Source organism: Homo sapiens, chromosome X (genome assembly GCF_000001405.40).
Source record: "Homo sapiens chromosome X, GRCh38.p14 Primary Assembly".
Lineage (NCBI taxonomy): Eukaryota > Metazoa > Chordata > Mammalia > Primates > Hominidae > Homo > Homo sapiens.
Window position 1 is genome coordinate 153510076 of NC_000023.11, and position 21761 is coordinate 153531836.

At 57.6% G+C, this 21761-nt stretch overlaps 1 protein-coding gene across 11 annotated transcripts in view; it reads left to right on the forward strand.

Annotated features, from left to right (window-relative positions):
- ATP2B3 (ATPase plasma membrane Ca2+ transporting 3) overlaps window positions 7567-21761 on the forward strand; it is a 65288-nt gene continuing 51093 nt past the window's right edge. For 8 of the 11 annotated variants that reach the window (NM_021949.4, XM_005274689.4, NM_001001344.3 and 5 more), the window contains exons 1-2: window positions 7567-7800; window positions 8357-8476. The gene's annotated coding sequence lies outside the window, so the exon portion shown is untranslated. The remainder of the gene's footprint in view (window positions 7801-8356; window positions 8477-21761) is intronic. The other 3 variants (NM_001388360.1, NM_001388361.1, XM_047442141.1) reach the window with 1 other exon arrangement.

A 21761-nucleotide genomic window follows, 5' to 3' on the forward strand; every position in this document is an offset into this window, starting at 1 on the left:
CAGAGAGAGGATCCAGGTCAGGGCCGGGAAAGCCTGCATGCTGGGGACACAGGTCGTCCTGGAAAGGACAGCTTGGAGGGGGACAGTCCCCAGAGCAACGCTACCGCCTGTGACTTTCCTTCGGCCCTGCACGAAGAGCCTCAGAGCAGGTGGCGGGACCTGGGGCTTCCCTGGGCAGCCCAGGCTCCCAACGGAAATAGAGTGGGCAGGGCCCGCGTGAATGGCAGCCTGGCACTGCGTGTTGGCTCCTCACACATAACTGCGTCTTTATGGCTGGACTGGCACTGGCGCACTGGCATCCCCAGGTTTCTCCTTTCTGGGATAGGAGGTGCCACACAGTGTGGTGGCCCAGTGATAGAAAGTCACCATCAGCATCACAGCACTATTCTGGGCCATGTGCTCTACGGCCCGGCAATGTCTGCTGAGCTGGGCAGGCATGGTGCAAGGGAACTGGGCAGGGGCCGGGAGTCAAGGCTTCGGGCAAGTCCCCTCGCTGGCTGGGAGGAGGGGCAGCCAGCGCCACGGCCTGGCAGAGATGGAAAGATGGGGCTTCCGCCCATTCATCTGTGAGCGGGTCTTGGGGCATTGGCTCTGTGTTCAGTGGGTCCAACACAGCCCCCGTGAATCTGTCCACTCTTCCTGCCTCGCTCCCATCCTTCCTGTGCCTCCTTTCCTCTCTGTCTGCCTCTCATTTCATGCACCTTCATCACACCTGTCCTCTGCGTGTCCCAGCTCAGGGATGCAGTGTGGGTGGAGGACAAGCTAGTGGGATGAGTGTGATATGGGTGGTCAGTGCAGAGGAAGGCATCCTGCAGGCTGCGTGCTTAGCCCACACAGCAGGGGGTGCCCTGCAGGCAGCACACACTCTGCCTGGACTAGAGTGCCAAGCCCCCGAGGCAGGAGCCCAGAGCTGGACAGGGTCACAGCCTGCAAGGGCTTCTGGGTCGTGGTGGAAGGTGAGCTCCATCCTCAAAGCAGTTGGTCCTGACCACAGTGTGAAGATGAATCACATAGCCTCACTCTACCGCCAAGTGTGGGAAAAACTATTAGCTAATACTAGCCAAGGTGAGACTGATTTGGGCTTAAAAAAGAAAATGGCTAGGCGTGGTGGCTCACGGCTGTCATCTCAGCACTTTGGGAGGCCAAGGCAGGAAGATTGCTTGAGGCCAGGAGTCCAAGACCAGCCTAGGCAACATAGTGAGACCCCATCTCTAAAAAAGAAAAAACTAAAAAATTAGCTAGGCATTGTGGCACACGCCAGTGGTCCCAGCTGCTCAGGAGGCTGAGGTTGGAAGATCATTTGTGCCGGGGAGGTTCTCCCGGCAAGCTGCCAATCCCCCACATTTACTTGCAAGTGGCTTCGAAAGTAGGACTGTGCTCAGGGCCCCAGCTGTGGCATAGGAAGGCCTAGGGTGGACAACGGCTGGGCTGCAAGTTCCAGCCGATCTTTGCTTGAGTAGGGTCCCCTGAACTTGGTGACAGATTGGGTGTAGTGTGAGAACGGGGTTGGTTGTGATGCTCCGTGGCCTGGAGAGGGGAAGGGGACCCTGAGGACCACCACCTGACGGCCAGGAGCATTCCGGAGCTGCTGGAAGGCAGCAGGCGTGGGCTTACACACGTACACACACACATGCACGAACACACGTGCACACGCACACAAATGCGTACACAAACACACACGCACACATGCACACTTGAACACACAAACACAAGCACACAGAAACAAACATATGCCGCACAAACACATGTGCACACAAACACACACAGCAATGCAGGTCACAAAGCCGCTTCCTCGGGGAGTGGCTGTGGAGGGCACAGGGCCGCCGTGGGGCCGTTTCTCAGCATTTGCTGCAGGTCAGGTGCCTTCTGGGCACAGCAGGGCCCAGCGGGAGCCTAAGCCGAATCCACTGCTACGGTTTAGACGAGTCCGGGCTTGTCAAAGGGGCAGCGAGCCAGACCTTGGCAGGCTGGGCCCACGATGCGGGCAGGACCCCTGAGGGACACGACCCCTCCTTGGAGGGCTGCAGGGGCAGGTGGCAGGCCTGGGAGCCAAGTCAGAGGGGCTGCCCTGAGGACTTGGCAGTGGCCTGGTCTCCAGGCTCTGCTCCCACAGGCTCCAGCTCTAGTCTCAGGAGGCAGGGACCACAGGAAGAGGCCAAGACCCTGCCTGCCACTCTGAACAGGCAGGGCAGGGCACCATCGCCAGCAGAGAGACCTTGTCTCCCTCAGCTTCTGGGAGGGCACAGCCTCTCTGGCGCCCTGGAGAACCCTGGGCAGCCTGGGTGCTGAAAGGCCCTGATGCCTGCTGCACAGGGGCAGCCAGGGCCCAGGCAGGAGTGCCCAGGGGACTGTGCTGGAGCTGCACTGGCAGGAGTCATGCCCAAAGAGCCATCTCTGTCTCTCTCTCTCACACACACACACAGACATACTCTCACACTCACATACTCACACACAAACACACACTCGCACTCACACTCACACACACTCCCACTCACACATGCTCACACTCACACACACTCAAACTCATACTCTCACTCACACACACTCACACACTCACACAATCACACTCACACTCACTCACACACTCACACTCACATATTCACACTCACACACTCTCACACTCACTTGCTCTCATGCACACTCACACCCCACACACACCCACTCTCTCACACACACTCACTCCCACTCACACACACTCTCACACACCCACACACGTGCTCACATACACTCATGCCCACATCCACTCACTCACACCCACTCACACACTCACACTCACACCCCCACACACTCACACACACACACTCTGCATCGCCAGCCAGCTTTCCAGAACCACCAGGCGTGGATGTACTCAAGCCAAGCAGCCCAAGAAGCCTCAGTTGTGCTGTGGACAGGGCTCTGCCGAGCTGGAGCTCCTCGGTGGCCCAGCTGGGGCTTGGATGAGTGGCCCGAGGCCACTGTCATGGATAACCACAAACCGGGTGGCTCACCACAGAGGACATGGACCCTCTCCCAGTCCTGGAGGCCAGAAGTCCAAATCCAGGTGTCTCAGGGCCACACTCCCCCCAGAAGCTCTAGGGAAGGCTTCTTCCTGCCTCTCCCAGCCCCGGAAGGCTCCAGGCGTCCTGGACTTGTGGCCACCTCACTCCACTTTGCCTCTGCAATCACATGGCTTCTTGTGGGGGGGGGGGTACATGTGTGTGTATATGTGCAATGTGTGTGTATGTGTGTGTTTCTGTGAGTGTATGTGTGGGTATGCGTGTGCATATGTGTGTGGGTGTGTATGAGCATGTTCGTGTGTATGTATGTGTGGGTGACTGTGTATGTGTGGGGTGTCTGCATGTGTATGTGTGCAATGTGTGTGTATATGTTTCTGTGTGTGTATGAGTGTGTCTTGTGTGTGCATGTGTATGACTGTGTGCATATGTGAATGTGTGTCTGTGACGATGTGTGTGTATGTGGGGGTGTGCGTATGTGTGCATGTGTGTGTTTCTGTGTGTGTCTCTGTGCATGGATGTGAGTGTGGGCATGTGTGTGTGTTTCTGTGTGTGTGTCTGTGCATGGATGTGAGTGTGAGCGTGTGTGTGTTTCTGTGTGTGTGTGTCTCCGTGCATGGATGTGAGTGTGAGCATGTGTGTGTGTGCATGGATGTGTGAGCGTGTGTGTGTTTCTGTGTGTGTGTGTCTCTGTGCATGGATGTGAGTGTGAGCATGTGTGTGTCTCTGTGCATGGATGTGAGTGTGAGCGTGTGTGTGTGTTTCTGTGTGTGTGTGTCTGTGCATGGATGAGAGTGTGAGCGTGTGTGTGTGTTTCTGTGTGTGTGTGTCTCCGTGCATGGATGTGAGTGTGAGCATGTGTGTGTGTGGCGGGGGGGGATAACCCAGGATAACCCACATCTCAAGATTCTTCACTTGATGGCATCTGCAAAGACCCTATTTCCAAATAAGGCTGCATTCCGGTTCCGGGGGTTGGGACATGGACACATCGGTGGGGACATTTTTAGCCTGCCCCTGGGCTGCAAGTGGACACGGGCTTTGCCCCTGAGGCCTTGGGGAAGGGGCTGGGACCTCAGCCAGGGAGACAGTGGGCATGAGAAGACGGGATGGGGGCCCCAGGCCCAGCCAAAGGGGTCCTCACTTCAGAGCTGGCCAAGGAGCTGCTGTCCCAACAGTGGCAGGAGGGAACCTGGGCAAGGAGGGGGCATGGCCCAGAGGCCTGGGAGAGGACGGACCTGGTGACTGGGTAGGGGCCAAGGAGCCAGGAGAGAAAGCAGTTGTGGGAGGGGAGCGGGACTGAAGGGGCTGGAGGCAGGTGGAGAGAGAGAGGGGTGAGAGTGGGGATGAGGCGGCCAGGTGGGGCGGTGGGCAGCCGCTGAGAGCAGGGTGCTCTCTGTGGCTTTTGTTTCCCAGGCAGTCGTCGGCAATGTGGGAGAGTGGGGTGGGGACGGAGGCCTGGCGTGCCCTAAGGAGGCAGGTCCAGGGCATGGTGGGACAGGCTGGCTTGGGACCTGGGAGGGAGCTGGGAAGCAGAGTGGTCTGGGCCTCCCTGGGTTTGGCTCCCTAAGTACTCCCAGTGCAGAGGACAGGACTTGGTGTATGGGAGAACTTTCTAGCAAAGCTCCCACCTCTTTACTGATGGAGGACCCAAGAGGGGCTGGCCGGTGAGCAAGGATCACCAGTGACACTGGCAGCATTTGCCTGGCACTCAGGTGTCCTCATTCCCAGGCCTGGGCCCTCCCTCTCAGCCTCAGGGCTCTGGGCTGGGAACCAACAGACACAAACCAAGGAGAAAGGACCATCCCCTTACCTGGCCATTAGCTGTTTAGGGGCCACAATTTGCTGAGGACTAGGGACTTCCATGACACTTTGTTCCTTGGCCATCTGACCTTGGCCTCAGTGGGACTCATCACAAAGGTAGGCACCATGGCCAACTCTTGGCTGGATTAGCCATGAGCAGTGCCCTGGGGGCCCGGGGGAGGAGGCAAAGTGGTGGGGCAGGTAGCCCCTGCCTCAGATTTTCTCCCCTGAACTTGCTTCTTCCCCCTGGCCAGACAGGGCCTGTGCAGAGTCTGGGGTCAGAGAATAGGGAGGGGAGATGCATAAACACGCAACCCAGGCAGCAGCTGCTCCAAGCTCAGGGAGATTCCCCCATGTGGATAGCAGCCATCAGTTAAATGAACAGCCTCCATCCCTCAGCATGTTCCCTGGTCCCCGAGGGAAGACAGTGACGCAGCCCAAAGGGACTCTTCTCTTTGCTTGTCAGCTCTCACAGCCACTCCTAAGCCTTTAAGTGTGGGTCTCCCCAGCCCCACACCTGCCCTCCCAGAGCTGCCCACACATGTCTGCTAAGAGGTGCTTGTCTTCAGCCGGGACCCAACCCTTGCCCAAGGGATGCTCCTGCTGGGGGCCACGAAAGGAGGCCAGCTCAGCAGCCTGCTTCTGCCTTTGCTCACTCCAGAGCAGGGCCCTTGGGCCTGGGATGGAAGGACATGACCCCAGGGAGCCTGCCACAGTGTGGGAGGCCAAGAAGGAACGTGGCCTGAATGCGCTGGGGAAAGGAGCTCCTCTGCCCTCCTGTGGTGCCTGAGGGCATGGGGGCAGCTGGCCTCCCGGCCAGGGGCCAAAGTCCAGCTTACAACCTGCTCCGGGTGGGATCCAGTGCCCTCTGGGCCTCCACTTCCCCATCTGGAATGTGGGCTAGTAAGAGGAACGACTCCAAGATGGCAGGGCTCTGGCGAAATGGCCAGAACTTAGCTCATGATAAGTTTCCAGCATCATTGGGGCTTGCTTCAGTCTTGATTTTTCCCATTCGGGGCCATGGGAAGTCACAGGCTGTGTGTGTGTGAGAAGGGGGTGTCCCCATGGCGGCTCTGGGCCCGGAGGAGCACACGCCCCAGGCTCAGGAAAAGCTGCCTCAGAGTTGGAGTGGAAGGGGACTGCGGGAGTGTGCAAATGAATATGTGTGAGAGTGTGAGTGGGGAGTGTGTGTGTGAGTGTGACTGTGAGTAACTGTGTGTGAGTGTGTGTGTATGTATGTGCCCATGTGTGTGCTCACTGGGTAAGTGTGTGAGTTGTGTAGGTGTGAGAGCATGTAAATATGTGTGAACCATTGTGTAACTGTGTGGGCCACCGAGCTTGTGTGGGTGAGGGTGAGTGAGCACATATGACTGTGAGGATGTGTCTGCGTGAGATTGTGAGTGTGTGCATGAGTGTGTGAGTGTGTGTTTGTGTAAGTAGGTGAGTGAGCATGAGTTCATGCATATGAGCAGGTGTGAGTATGTGTGCGTGCATGTGAGTGGGTGTGAGTAAGCATGTGTGAGCGCACACATGACCAGGTGTATGAGTGTGTGTGTGCGTGCGTGCGCGAACCTCAGCTTTCCACGGCACCAGCTGCTTCCTGTGGAAGGGAGGGGCAGTCTGTGGGGGTTGTGACGGTTCCCTGGTCTCAGGGGCAGCAGAAGCTTTCTGTCCTTTTGGTCCCTAGCACAGTGGTGCCTCCTCAAAGAGGCCTTCCCTGAGCCGCCAGCAGCCTCTTTCATGGCTCCCCATCAATGGGGTTCCATAGCTCCGACCCCAGCGGCGTGAGCACATTTGCCATCCGACGGCCACTCCCTGCTTTGTGGTCCCTGCTGTGTCCCCAGTATTCAGCTCTGGTCTGGCACACAGCATGTCCAGGGCCCTCTTTGTCCAAGGCAAGAAAGAATTTGAGGCTGCGTCCAGGCCTCTTGCACCTGCCTCAGGCTCCCGCCCAGAGCCTCTACCTGTGCCCCAGCGAGCATTCTCTGCTCGCTGCTCAGAATGCTCGCAAAGGCCGGCCCTGGGGTCAGAGGCCTCCACAGCCCCTGGAGCTGGGAAGCCTGGGGGTCCACCGGCAGGCACGGGGGTCTCTTTCCAGGTAGGTGGGAACGCGTGCTTGTGGGTGTGGACAGGTGTCTGCACTGGGGTTTGTCTGTGTGTCTGTCTCCACTCACACCGGGGATGTATGTGCCCCTGCGTGTCTGTCTCTGGTGCCCACCTGTGTGCAGTCTCTGTGTTCTGCCTAACGGTGGTGTTCCCGTGATAACCGACGGTGAGGATCTCCGGTAAGCGCCGCTTCCTCTGGGAAGACGCATTTGGACGCCCGTACTCTCAACAGGTAATGGAGTTTGCAGGAGACCACCAATGCCTTGGAGTCCACTGAGGCAAGACCCAAGGACCCCACGCTACACATCAGCCACCCGGCTCTGTGCCCCATTTTACTGTTGGGGAGACGCACCTAGAGGGCAGGGTCTGGAGAGGTAGTGGCAGCCTCAGTCGCAAGCTCAGGGTGCTCTCTCTGCACTCACAGGTGCCATGGTCCCCCAGTTTCCATCCCCACCCACCCCCACTCGGCCAGTGCCCTTTGGGGGCAATGCCAGGCCAGGAAGGGCGGGCACCCTCGCGCGTCCTGGGGACAGAAGGGCGCGCACCGGGCGCGTAGCTCCTGAGCCCCGAGGCCCCTGCGCCGCGCACCGCCCCCCGCGCCCGCTCCCTCCTCCCTCCCTCCTCCTCACCCAGCTCCCTCCCCTCCCCCCTCCCTCCCTCCGCGCTCAGAGCTGCGGTTGGAGCCGAGCGCGCCGCGTCGCCCGCCGCCGGTGCAGAGCGTGGGGAGCACTCGGCCGCAGCCCTCGCCCGCCGCAGAGGGTCGCGTCCCGCGCCGCCGGCCAGGCCGCCCCGTGCCCAGGCCTTTCCATCCTTGGAGCGGATCGTTGCCCGCCTGACGCCCGCCCGCAGCGACAGCGCCCGCCGGAGCCGAGGCCGCGGCGGCGGCCGTGCCCATGCCCGGGTAAGTGGTGCTCTGGGCGCGCGGGCGCCGCCGGGGTGGGCGCGGGCGCGGCGCGGGCACAAGGCGCGGGTGGGGATGGGAGGATGACCCGGCAGGTGGTGCGGCGGCAGGTAGGGGGACACGGGTCCCCGCCCGAGGCACCTGAGCCCCGCGCCGGGCCTGCGTGTCCTTGCGGCACTGCGGCCGCGCGTCACCCCGGGGCCCCAGGCCGGCGGGCAGCGCCCCGCACCCTGCACCCTGCGCCCCGCATCGCGCGCGCACGCGCATCCGTGTCTGAGGAACAAGGCCCTTGGGGGCTGCGGGCCGGGGCTCAGGGTGGGCGCAGCCGGGGGCGCGGGATCTGGGCCGGGAGCCCGCCAGTGCGCACGCACCTTCCCGGAGCCTCGGGCACCCCCTCCCCCCCGCGCCCTCACACTGTATCATCCTTCCCCTCTCGCCTTCCCGCACCGTTCCCCGCACGCCCACGCGGCTGCCCAGCAGACCCCACCGCGGTCATGGGCAGTGCCCACGAGAAGCCGCCCGGGGCCGCACTTAGGTAACTTCTCCATCCCTCCAGGAACGGCTGTCTCCCCCTCCTCGCCTGTGTGACCTTGGCCAGCCAGCTTTTCCTGTGGCCGCCTGCGTTTTCTCACGGGTGAAAGCTCTGGCTTTAAGATTCTGGAATTTGGAATGGCAGGTGCGGCATCTCCCAGAGCCTGAGACGATGGGCTTCTCTCTCTGTGACCTGGTGTCCTTCCTTCTGCTGGCCCTTCTGGGGGTTGGTGGCTCAGCCAGCCGGCTGAGGAGGGGTGGGAGGCAGGGCAGGGGCATGGCGCCGGGGCAGGTCAGGACTGGAGGGAGTCTTGGAGAGCCCGCGGTGAGGGCTCCATGAGGGTTTAGGAGAGACTGTGGAAATGCTCCTTCGCTCACTCAAGGGGCAGGGAAGGGACCAGAATTCCTCAACGAGATGCTTGCCATTTCCTGGCGAGGTCATATAACTTTCAAAGATGAAGCCCAGGGCCTCCGACCTCAAAGGAGTCCCTGCCTGCTAAAGGATCAAGTCCAGCCTGTCCCCAACTGGCCCCCATCCTGAATTCCACTGGCACCCTAAACGTCAGCCGACTTCCCCTGGCTGACTTGGGCACCAGTCTGGCAGGCACCCCCTGCACCTCCTCCCCTCCTTTGCCCACTAGGATCTGTGCCCTCACCCCCTGCCATTGCCCCTCACTAGTCAGTGACCATCTTAAGGCAAGGACTGGCTCTTCATTTGCACAGGCCTGGCACAGAGTGGGCACCTGGTTTCTGCATGGCATATTCATGACCTTGACCTCACTGAATCTGCAGACTCACTGAACAGGAGAGGCAAGGCCTGGATTTTTGTCCCCATTTTTCAGATGGGATCATTGAGGCCCCCAAGAGGAGAAGGGATTCAGCCCTGAATTGAGGCCCCTTCCTTCATGAGCAGATGGCTAGGGACATTCCTATGAACCTGGTGGGGCAGGGAGGCGGGGAGAGGTTATCGTAATAATCAAAGACCAGCCCCACTTCCTGAGCTCCATCTGAGTCTCACCTCAACCACACGAGTGAATGGCTGTTTTCATCCCCAACCCCCACCCCCCGCCGCCACTTTTCACAGATGAGGAAACCGAAGCCATGTGGCTCATTAAAGGGGCACTGGGATGCCGAGGAGAGGGCTGGGGATGCCTGGGCCCCTGTGGGACACAGCTGAGACCCAGCAGAGGGTCCCAGGGTGAGGTCAGCCCCTCAAGTCTGCGCCATCGGAACGGGCTGGGAACTTGTGGTCCCCGGCCATTGATTGTCACTGCTGCAGGCCCCGAGGCGGGGGACAGCCAAGGACACAGCCAGTCTCCATCAGCTCCACCTGGGCCGTGCCCTGCACGGCCAGGTGGTTTGAGTGCAGGAGTAGGCATGCTCTCACACAGCAGGGGGTAACGGGCAGATGGAAGTGGGGCGGGCGTGGGAGGGGGCCTTGCACAGGGCCAGAAGGAGAGCCGGTCCCTGAGGAAGGAAGCCCCTAAGGCAAAGAGCATGCCAGGGGACAGCCACAATGCCAGGTGATGGAGATGCCCCAATCGGCCCCCGAGGGGCAAGGAAGGGGCCAGAGGAGGCTCGTGAGGGTGCCTGGGGCTTCAGTGACAGCAGCCCCTTACCTGATGGTCTTTGTGACCTTGGCCAAGTCCCTTCTCCATTCCAGATCCAGGGAGGGTGGGGGTGGGCCTGGGGGAGCTGGAGCTTCAGAGGTTGAATCATTCACTAGCAGGAGAAGCCAAGCCTGTGAGTCAGTGAGTGCTCTCCATCCCAGAACGTCTGCTCCCAGCCCAGGGATGCAGCCACGGAGTGCCGGGGTCAGCCGTGGAGGACCCTCTGAGAATGTCTTGTGGAAAGGGGCGCCTTGCCTGCCCGGTAGACAGGATGAGGGCGCCCCAGAGCCCCAGGGGCTTCTGAGAGCTGAGTACCCTCTGGGCCTCTTGCAGCCAGCAGAGCCAGGCAGAGCTTCTTCTGGCCTTTTCACCTCCTCCCCCACCTCACAGAGCAAGTCATCAGCACATATGAACTCCCCTCTGATTTTAAACTGATGGCTTGTGTATTTCACCAATGGCCACTGTCTCCATCAGTGGTCAGTAGCACATCAAGTAATGTCAACAATGATAATAGTTATAATGGCAGTCACTTTATGTCAGACACTGAGTGCTGCACAGACATTTCCTTGCCCACTTAATTGAAACAACAACAAATGATTGCAAGTGCTGTTATCCCCATTTTGCATTGCGGCTGAGGCCCAGAGAGGCTAGGTAACTTGCCCAAGGTCACACAGCCAGTAGGTAGCAAATCCAGGGCTGGAATGTAGTCCATCAGGCTCCGGAGTCTGGTCTGTGCTTGTAGCCATTAGTTCCTGTATCTCCAGAAGTGTGTGCGGAAGTCAGCAGAGTAGAGTGTGGTTCGTGTGAACTCACTGTCTCGGGTACTCCCAGCCTTGTGGGCTGAAGCCGGGGATTCTTGGGAAGACCTTGCAGCTCAGAAGCTGAGCCACCTGCACCTCTGCCCCGTCTACCCACTGAGAGAAATGGACAACAGGTGGATTTATATCAGTCTCCAGCAACTCAGGGACCGGTTTAGCTCTGCATTCATGGCCCCTTCAGGGCACCCGGAAGCACTGGCAGTGCACGTAAATGGCAGCTGATAGATGGGGACCTGTGCCATGGTACTGAAGGCAAACACTTCCCTCTAAGCCTCTTGCTGTGACTTTGCAGCAAGCTCCCCAGCAACGCCCCGGGCTGGGTATGCCAGGCAGAGACCTGGAGCATGCACAGGGCTCCTCCCTTCCCCACCCTGGCTAAGCTGGCAGAAGCCAGGCCAAGCAGCGCCTGGCTGGAAAGCCCTCCCCTGCCTGGGCTCCTTCTGTTGGGTGGGCGGTGCTGGCAGTGGGCCTGGGAGCCTGCGGAGAAGGATCAGAGCCACGCGTCACTGGGGCAGAGGGAAGCAGGCTCTCAAATGCAGGGGAATTCGGGCATCCTGGACTGCCCAAGGTTGGGAAGGAGACAAGTCCAAGGTCACATGGCTGAGTAGGTGGCAGGACTTGAATCAGAGCAACAAGGCAAGGGTGGAAATGCCAATGGTTGGGGAATCTTGGGACTGGCAGGACTCTTTTAGAGCACGAGGAGGTTTCCGGAGTCTTGGTTCCAAATCAAAGTTGTACAAAGCGAGTATGTCCGTGTCCTTGAAGAGCACCTTATTTAAAGGGGTCCTGAGCCAGCCTCTCTTGTTCTGTAGGTGGGTCTCTCAGTAAGCGAGCAACCATTTTATTCCAGTGAGAAGTTCTCCCCTGAGGCCACAGGCTCAAGGCACTTTCTCCAGCTGCACTGTCCAAGCAGCGATTTTATTAGAATGCACTTCCTCAGGTGCACCAGCCACATTTCAAGGGCTCAGGAGCCACCCAAGGCTGGTGGCTACCGTCACAGACAGTGCAGAGAGAGAACATTTCCATCACTCCCGAATGCTCTGTCACACAGAGCTGCTCTACAGGAAATGGAAACCCAAGTCCTCACACGGACCCTGAAGCCACCTCCCACACCCACTCCCTGGTGGCACAAGGCCACTAATGCAGCAGCTTGGGCTCCCCCAGAGAACCATCCTGAAGAGAAGCCCCAAAGAGGGCTGACTGCTCACAGAAATTTGAAGAGGTGTTCTGTGGTGGGACAGGCTCCAGTCTGAGAGCTTAACAGGTAGGGACAGAAAGTGCCAGGCTGGGCTTGAACGGGTCGTTCCTCAGAATGGATGAGTGCATTCTATTGTCAGAATGGCGCCAGCTATGCCAGGGGGCCACATCTTATTGATGTGATGGGCATGAGGGACACTGCCCTGGTTCACTGTGTGCCAGGCTCTGTGTTTGCTTCAGGGGAGACGACGGAAAGCAAAAAGCAAACGCAATGCCCTTCCTGCCCTCCTGGAGCCTTTGTGCTTTGCTCAGTGTTCACCAAAGTAAGAGTGCAAACCTGGCTGGGGCCGGGAGGATGGACTGAGGCCACGAGGCCAGCCGGTATCTCCCAGGGCTCGGGTCCACAACCTGAGTCCCCGCCCATCCTGCCCTGACCCCGCCTCCTCAGGTAGCCACACATGGCTGGTGGCTACCATATGGGACAGTGCAGAGACTCCGGGATGTACTGTCACACAGAGCTGCTTTGGAGCAAATGGAGACCCGAGTCCTCACACGGACCTAGACACCCCCCACCAAGCCCACTGCCCCATGCCTCCTTGGAAGGCAGTGGCCAAGCATGTACTCTCCAGGGGCTGCGCAGATACCTAGACAAACACAGACCAGGGAGGAGGGAAAGGGCCTCTGTCCCAGCAGCTCACCGTGCTGTGGGGGATGCCCAGACCTCGCCTCGTGCTGACTCCAGTGGTCCTAGCACACCCAGCATGGGGCAAAAACCAGATCCGGCCACCGCCTGGTCCTTATTAGGCCCCACCATATGCCCAGCGCACTGCCTGTGCTCAGGAAACAGCAGGGAGGAGACGTGGGTTTTTTTTTTTTTAATTGATTTCTTCCTATTTAAAAACAATACTCTTAATATGCTCTCTATAGGAAACGTATAAAACACAGAGAAGTCGAAAATGTAGTAAAGCCATCCTATCATGCAAATGTAAATCCAACATCTCCATTTGATTCATTTCACATTGCTGTCATTATACCATGGGCTCAATTGTGTAATCTGTTTTTTACTTCACATAAGCATTTTCTTTATTAATATAATCCCTTCCTAAATGAATGGTTTTTTTCAAAATGGTTATAGTTTAATTTTTTAAGATTATAAAAGCAGTAAGTGCTTATTGCAAAAAGAAAGAATGATCTTGAACCATGCAAAGAAGAAATTTGATCATTCAACAGTTATTTACCAAGCACCCGGGATGTATCAGGCGGCCTTCAGTAATTACAATTTTTAATGGCTGAATAATATTCTCCCAAGAGATTGTAATTCGCTTAATTATTTGGCTATTTTTGGAAACCCAGGCAGTCAGATTTATTTTGCTCTTATGCGTGAGCTCTGCTGAGGAGCCTCTGTCCTGAGGAGAGGGCCCAGGCAGAGGTATCTTCTGCCAAATTGTTCTCCAAAAGGGCTTTTTCATCGCACTGCATGGTGTCGCTCACTGCAACCTTGCCAGCATTAGATATTTTAATCAAACAAATTGTCATAAGTATCTAGGTCAAAAATATGTACTTTACTTTATATGTCTTTAATTGCTGATGAGGGGGCACGTTTTTCCTCATGTTTATAAGTTGTCTTTTCCTTGTGAATTATCTGTTCCTCCCTTCATTTTTTTTTTTTTTTTTTTTTTTCCCTGAGACAGTCTCGCTCTGTCACCCAGGCTGGAGTGCAGTGGCGCGATCTCAGCTCACTGCAACCTCCACCTCCAGGGTTCGAGCCATTCTCCTGCCTCAGCCTCCCGAGTAGCTGGGATTACAGGGGCCCGCCACCACACCCGGCTAATTTTTGTATTTTTAATAGACCCGGGGTTTTACCATGTTGGCCAGGCTGGTCTCAAACACCTCACCTCAGGTGATCCACCCACCTCGGCCTCCCAAAGTGCTGGAATGAAAGGCGTTTATTGAAGTCTTAGTGTTTCTTCTGTGGGCTTGAATAAACTGTATGCATGAAAAAACAGTGACAATTTAACAGATTTGTTGCAAATAATTTTTAAGACCTTTGTTCTTTGCCATTTTTTTTTTTCATGCAAAAGGTAAACACTTTGTTGCTCACAATTATTTGTGATTTCTTCCATTGTTTCTAGGCTTAGAAAATCCCTTTCGGAAATTTGAGAGCTGTTCATTTCTGAGTTTTCCATGTGTCTTCGTGTGTGTGTGTCTGTGTGTGTGTGTGTGTGTGTATTGGGGTGGTGTAGTTGCATTTTTAAGATACTTAACTCTTTAATTTAGGGATTAGCAAGCTTTTTCTGCAAAAGGCCAGATGGTAAATAGATTTCCAGTTTGCAGGCCACATAGTCTCTGTCCCGACTACTCAACTCTGCATGGTAGCCTGCAAGTAGCCACAGACAATGCGAAATGAGGGGGTGAGGCTGTGTCCCAATAAAACTTTATTCACAAGAACACTGGGCTGCCAGATTTGGCACTTAAGCTGTAATTTGCCAAACCTGTTGAATCCAAATGAGATGTGTCTTAGGGGATAGTTTGAGGTGAGGATCTAAGGTGCATCCTTTGCAGATTGCTAACCAGTTGTCCCCATCTCTAGTAGCAAATCGGTTGTTCCCTGGCTCATTTGCACGCACTGACACTGGTCTGCAGTCAGACCTGGTGCTGGCTGCCTGTCCTGACCCACGGGCCCATCTGTGTGCTGCTGTACCGGTGATGTGCTTTTGCCTCTTGTACCTGGTATCATTTAATACCTGACCTGCCGGCCCCACCTCAGCAATCCTAAAGCTTGCTTCTCTGTCCAGTGGACTTCAGAACCACTTTGTCAAGACCCCCTTCCTCCCTCCCCGCCAAGATAAAGCACTGGGTGATACATTCTCTGGACATCCTCAGAGTTCCGAAGCCGCAGATGAGTCCGGTCCCCATGGGGTGGGGTGGCGGCTGGCTCTGTGCAGATGCTGTGGATTTGACTCTCCGCAGATGGGAGGCGGGTGTGGGCAGTACAGCGCCATCCTGAGTGAAGGCCCCCAGCTGAGGATAGCCAGACGGCCCTGGGAACGCCACAGCCTCCTGACTGAGAAACACGAAAACAAAGCCGGCAGTACAAGAGAGCGCGGGAGATTGGGAAGCCACTGTGGGCCGGCAGAAGATGACCTCAAATGACAGGACTTAGGCCTTTCTGCTGCTCTTTTGGAAATCACTGTCCTGACACTCAGAATTCCCTGCACTCCGGCGTTTCAAATCAAACCCTGAACCGGGTTAAGGCGCATGGAGTGGCCGGTTCGAAACTGAACCTACATTCCCACAGATTGCGGGCCAGGGGTGTGATGGTGGCACAGGGCGTGACCAAATGGGAAGGGGCCCTTTCTCCAGGTTGGACCAGCCCGGCAGTAACCGCTTGGCTCCCTCAAAGAGCAGCAGGAGCAGGAGAGTGTGTCCAGCCCCAATTCTCGGGCAGAGCAAGGGCTCACCAGGCACAAGGGTCCATTCCGCCCCCCACCATGGGCCTCAGCTCCATTTCTCCTGGAAGCATCCAGGACCAGACACTGCCACATCTTGGCTTGGAGCCACAGGCCCAGGAGAGATGGGCTCAGGAGCAGCTGGTCCTGGCTCCTCTGGCTCCTGGGGTCTCTGGGTACCTTCCTGTAGTCAGAGGGCGGCTGCCAGCAGATGGTCCCACGTCTGGTGCAGGAGAAGAGGGAGGGCTGTGGACGGGTAGGGCACGTCTCCCACCTAGTCTCATCTCTCCCTCCTGGCCTGTGGTTCATCTGCCCACAACACTGTGACCAGCAGCTAGGCTTGGAAACCTCTGTCCTGGGGAGTGGAGCAAGAGTCCCCCCTTGTAACCCATCCATGGGGCCAGAGGGTAAGAATGCGCTGACCTGGGGGCCACTGCCCCAGACGCCTGCCCTGGTAGCCCCTAGGGAGGCACTCGTGGCTGTGTCTGTAGGTGGGATGGGGTGGGTCAGGGCTCCCAGGCCACCGCCTGGCCCTCTGCGCCCCATCCACCCTTCCCCGAAGGAGGAAGCTGGGCTATAGCACAATCGTGGGAGGGGGTATCTGAGATGGAGACGGGCAGGGTTGGGGTCTCCCCTAAGGGAGGAGGGGAGGGGGTGAGCACACAGAGCAGAAATCCACCCCTTCAGGTCCTGTCCCCAGCCCAGCTGTGCTCTCCCGGTGCCTTCCCAGTGGGGAGAGCAGGCATCTGTCCATGAGCACAGAGGGGGCGGGAGGAATGGTGCTGATGACAGATGATGATAAGAGGGTCAGGAACTGGAGGAGCAGCTGGTGGTGGGAGGGTAGGGGGAGCTGATGGGCTGTGGGGCGCACTGAGGGAGAGACTCGGAGCCCTGTGTTGGTGTTGGGTCCCGGCCTGAGAGGGGGCCTCTGCCTCTGCACTCCCTTCAGGCACTCCTGGAGCACGGCAGGAACTTGGTGGTGCTTCCTCTGGGCTTTGCTGGAAAAGCTTTGGGCTCGTATGCCGGGTTCCTCGCTCAGAAATAGTGTCTTAGGCAAAATTCAAAAATGAACCAGCAATGCTCAGTTCACGCGATTCAGACAGCAGCCAAGCCCTTGATGACCTTCGCGTCCTGCAGCCTCGGCTGCAGCTTCTGAGGTACCCTCTCTCTGGGCATCCTCGCCACTGGCTCTTCCTCCATCACCACATTTGGCAGCAGGCATCCTGCCCCCTCAGCTGGGGAGAGTGGCACGGATACTTCGGTGTGCTCGTTCCTTGGGTCTAGATCACAGAAGGGCAGGCTTGACTCCCATCTTCAGTTGGAGCCCCCATTTGGAGGTCTGCCTCCCAGATCCTTTTATTGGCCTCTGACCTTGACACCAATGCATCCCCCCAGCCTGTACTCCCAAGGACTTTGGCCTGCTTCCAGAAACCAGGATGCCCTCTCTACTGCCCCTGCCAGGATTCCTAATGGGGCCCCATGGGACTCGTTCCCTAGGAGGACACGTGTATGTGTCCTGGTAGCTCCTTATTTAGTCACTGCCTGTCCAAGCTGGAAGGACTTAGCCCAGGGCCCACAGCCCCATGGCCTCCAGCTGCCTGTAATTTCCTTAATTACCTATTTAGGCCCCGACGGCTTCCGGTCCTCAGAGCTGGCTCTGAGATTGGAAGCGGGCTGGGACGGGCACCGAGGTACCACAGCAGAGCCGGGCCGACTTGGGGCACCTCTCCTCCCATCCACGTGCTCTCTGGCTATGAAGGGCTGGGAGGACAGGGACCCGGCTTCCCATTGGACCCCAAACACGAGGTCTCCGTCCCTTTGTAGGCTAGAGTCTTTCACGCTGGCCACAGCCACAGCGTTTCTAGGTCCCCATGCCGTCCCTGCCTTCGGGGCTGCTGGGCAGGCCCGGGCTGGCAGGAGGGGCGTGGGGAGCACGTAGGGGCAGGGTAGTGGCTGGCCAGGCTCACGCTGCTATGCAGCTCGCACACCCGCTGTAATTGGATAATTAGTGTCATTATGCTTCCTGCTCCCTCGCTCTCTCCTTCTGCAGCTCTTGCCTTCTCTGGCAGGAAACAAATGACTGTCCCCCAACCCTCAGTGTAGACTTCTGGCCCCAATCACAAAGGGGCTTCCAACCTCCCCGTGGGATCCAGGGACACCCAGCATTGTGAGGGCCGCCTGTGTGGGAGACAGGAGCACTGCGGGAGTCCGGGCAAGCTTGGGGAAGCATCCAGAGAGGCACATGGGTTCAGCCCCCGGCCGAACGGAATGTTCTGACTTCACCGGTCGAGCTTGGTCCTGACCTGTGAACTCTGGGGTCCAGCTGGAGTCCAGCTGAAGACTTCAGGACAAGCCTCGGGAGGGGAGCGTGTGGCGGGAGGGGCTGACTCAGCGAAGAGCATTGCCCTGCTCGGCTTCCTGGAGATCTCCTGGGCTTGAAGGAACCTCCGGGAAAATGGGCCCAGTCCCCTGGGGACCAGCCTCAGGGTGTGTGGGCAGGTGGAGCCCTGCCTTCTCACCAACCCAGCAAAAAGGAACGAGGACCATTTCGCAGATTAAAAAGTGAAGGCCCAGAGAGCTTGAGTGACCAAAGCCAGCACCTGCACTCTGGAACCCTGAGGTTGATGGGGACAGATTTCCTGTCCAGTCACTTTGCTGAACTCTTTTCATTGGTTCTAATCACTTGCTCGTTGCTTTTCTGGGCTTTTCAGGGCAGTATAACTTGGCAGAGCAGCAATGTCGAATCCTCTGGAGCTAGACCACTTGAGGTCCTGTTGGCCTCTGCTTCTGGCTTGCCGTGTGACCTTGAGTAGGCTCTCTAACCACTCTGTGCCTGAGCCGCATGTGCTCTTTGGTGGGGAGGGCCACCCCATGCTATAGAGGCTGCTGGCAGAGTGATAGTCATTCTGCCTCTCATCCGTGGCTCTATCATCTCCCTTCTGCCTCAGCTAGAACTTCTAGGACAATATCACCCCCCAGGGAGCTCAGGGGAAAGTGGGGGTTTGGTAGGTCCTGGAGACCTCAGGGAGGCCTCCTGGCTCTCCCAGAACCAGGCTGGATTTGGGTTAGGAGTGAACATTTACTCAGGCTATGGGCTTGGCCTATCTAACAGAGACCCAGCATAACAGTGGCTTCAGTGAGAGAGAATTGACTTCTTTCTCATGTAAGAGTCTAGGTGGGCAACCTAGGGCCAGCGCAACAGCTACTTAGCCCTCAGGAATCTGAGCTCCTTTGATTGTGTCATACATGGACTCCATGTGCAAGATGGCAACAGATAGATAGCTGCGGCCGCACCTGTCCCCACATCAGCATTCCAGCTGGCAGGAAGGAGGGGAAGGGCAGAGGAGAACACATTCCTTCTCTTTAAGGACATGGCCCTTGAATTCGTCCCTGTCACTTTTGCTCATACCCAGTTGGCCAGGACAGAGTCAGATGGTCATGGTTAGCTGCAAGGGAGTTGGGGGAATGTAATCATTAGCTGGATGACAAGACACTTAGCTGAAAATTAAAACATGACGTAGGAGGTGGGAGAGTAGCTAGCAAGTTTCTGCCACACACCTCTGCGGATTCATTAACACCTCCTCAAGACACATTTGAGAAGTGGAAGGTACCCATCTTGAGGCCAGGCTTTCCCCAGGTGACCTGGCCAGCCCTTCTGGGGATGGAATGGGGTCAGTACCTCTGAAGAAGTGCAGCAAAAAGAGGGGCCATTTGTGAGCAAGAGGGCAGGAGCAGTGGTGATGGCCTCTCTCCACTGATCTGCTCCTGTGCCACCAAATAGGGTACCCACCTGGCTGGGCAGGATATGGGTGGTGTTAAAAGTCACAGAGGCTGCAGGGTGGGGGTAGGGTGTGTGGGGAAGGGTCTGCTTGGGTTTCCATATCCAGTAGGGGGGTTTCCTGGAAGTTAAAATCCATACAAGCGAACTGCTGGCTGATTGGGCTGGTCAAGGCAGTGAAACTCCTGCAATCACGGCGTGTGGCTTGGGCACCACGGGAGGCCATTCAGGCCCAGTGTCCACCACCCTGGACACAGGGCGAAGTGGCTGGTGGGGGCTGCTTGCGTGTTCTATTGTGGTGGCATAGACATCACCTAAAATGTACCACGTTCACCATTTTTAAGTGTGCGGCCCAGGGGCAGAAGCACATTCATGGTGCTGTGCAGCCATCACCACCATCCAGCCGCAGAACTTGTTCGTCTTCCCAAACTGAAGCTCTGGCCCCGTTCAACCCCAACTCCCCAGCCCCCAGCCCATGGCACCCACCCTTCCACTGTCCGTCCCCTCAGATTTCACAGCTCTCCTATGAGGCCCTCACAGGAGTGGAATCCTACAGTGTTGGCCTCTCTGTGACTGGCTCCTTCTACTGAGTCCAACGTCCTCAAGGGTCAGCCATGTTGAAGCCCGTCTCAGAATGGCCTTACTTTGTAAGGCTGAGTCCTATTCTATGGCCTGGATGGGCCACATGGTGTTTATCCAGCTGCCTATCCATGGACATTGGGTTGCATCCACCTTTTGGCTATTGTGAGTAATGTTGCTATGAACTTGAGTGGACAAATACGTTTGTGTCCCTGCTTTCAATTCTTTGGGGCCTACCCCAGCAGTGGGGTGGGTGGGTCCTATGGGAATTCTACTGCTTTCCACAGTGGCTGCACCGTCTTCCATTCTATGGCGGTGCTTGTTTGAATGAGAATTCTGGGCCAGCCCTGGAGCCTCTGAAGGCAGGCAAATGTGTGGTCTCGAGCTTGACTAGACACCCAGATCCCCCAGGGGTTGGGGTGCTTTATAGCGTTCTGGTCCTCCCGCTTCTGAATGGGAAGCTCTGGACCCAAGACTCTGTATTCGTGAAGTTCCCTGAGTGGGGAGGGGTGCCCACCCAGGTCTGGCATGGGCTGCCGTAGATTAGAGTAGAGCGCTGGGCCACCTAGGGGCCAGGAGTGCTGCAGAAGTGCATCCACCCAAAGGCGCAGGCTGAATCGGGCAACCTCCTGGGCTCCTGCCACCTCCAGGGTGTTTCTGTGGGTTCCAGAATCCTCCTTGTCTGGACCCTTGTTAACGAGGACTTCCAATGCCTGTGTCTTTCTGCGGCACCCGGCGCCGGACAGGCGGTTGCTTTGGCTTTGCACGCAGCTGCCAGTGGGTCCCCAAGGTGGCCCCTCCGGGGCTGCCCTGCAGGGCAGAGCTTCAGGCAGGTGGGTGCATGCAGGAGTGGGGAGGGGGCGCCATGGTGATGGCTATTGTTTTTGCCCAAAGCTGTTCCAGGCATGAGAGCCACTTGTCATGTGTACAGATTGTACCAGGAACAGGGGGAGGAAGGAACAGAGCACTGGGGGCCGGTGGGGGGCAGAGGGGGAGCCTGTCCCTTTAAATCTGTTTTCTCGGGTTTTATTTCCTTCTCTTTTCCCATCCTCCTCCCTCCACCAGCACAAGTGGAGCCGTGAGGGCCCAGGAGCTGCAGCGACGGTGCCTCTGAAATATTAATGAGGCTGTTCTCTGCCTCAGCTCCTTCCCTCCCCCTTCCCTGGCTGCATGCAGGCCTTGTCCTTGGAACCCTCCTTTCCCCTCCCAGGTGGTCGCCAAGGTGCGTCAAGCAGAGGGGAGGGGGCAGGGGCGGGCAGGAAGGAGAGGGCCTGGCGCAAGGGCAGGAAGATGTGGGGAATCAGGGATAAAAGGGGTCTCCCAGGTGCACACCAGCCACCAGCATCTCGACCTGCCTAGGATCATGCCAGGCCCAGGAGAGGGCAGGGTGGCTGCCAGACTGGGCGCCCTCCTTCCGTGCCCTCTCCCCACCTGCTCCCCAGCTGGTCTAGGGGCCCACCCCGGGCCTGACCTACGAGGCCTGGGCCACACCTCTCGCTGTTGCCTTGGCTTGCTTTTCCTCTCTGGGTTCTGCCGGGCCTGGCCTGTGTTCTAGGAGCCTGGAGGTGGAGAGAGATGGGGGACTATTGTTTTAAGGAATCCCCGTAGTGAGTCACGTCGCTGAGTGATGGGCCCTTCTGAAAGGCGGGCCCTTGCTTGGTGGGTCTGTAGGGAGCAGGTGACGGACAGTCTGCCTTCAGGAGGGCCCACGGTGGAGGGCATGTGCCCAGGTAGGCCCCCAGGCGTCCACCTCCTGCCCTCTGCCCCTGAGTTCTGCTTCCTTCTTGCTTCGGGGCCACGGCATCCTGGGCCTGGCTCTGGCTTCCAGATGGTCTGAATGCCCAGGAGCCGCATGTTCTCATCACTGAGGGTCCAGTGACTAGGGAGTGACTCGGGAGCTGGGACTTCCTGGCAGTACATGCCCCATCATCCCTGTGGGGATATATGTCCACGCAGACCCCAGAAACTGAAGGGGTGCTCGACTGGGGTGCAGTGGGGC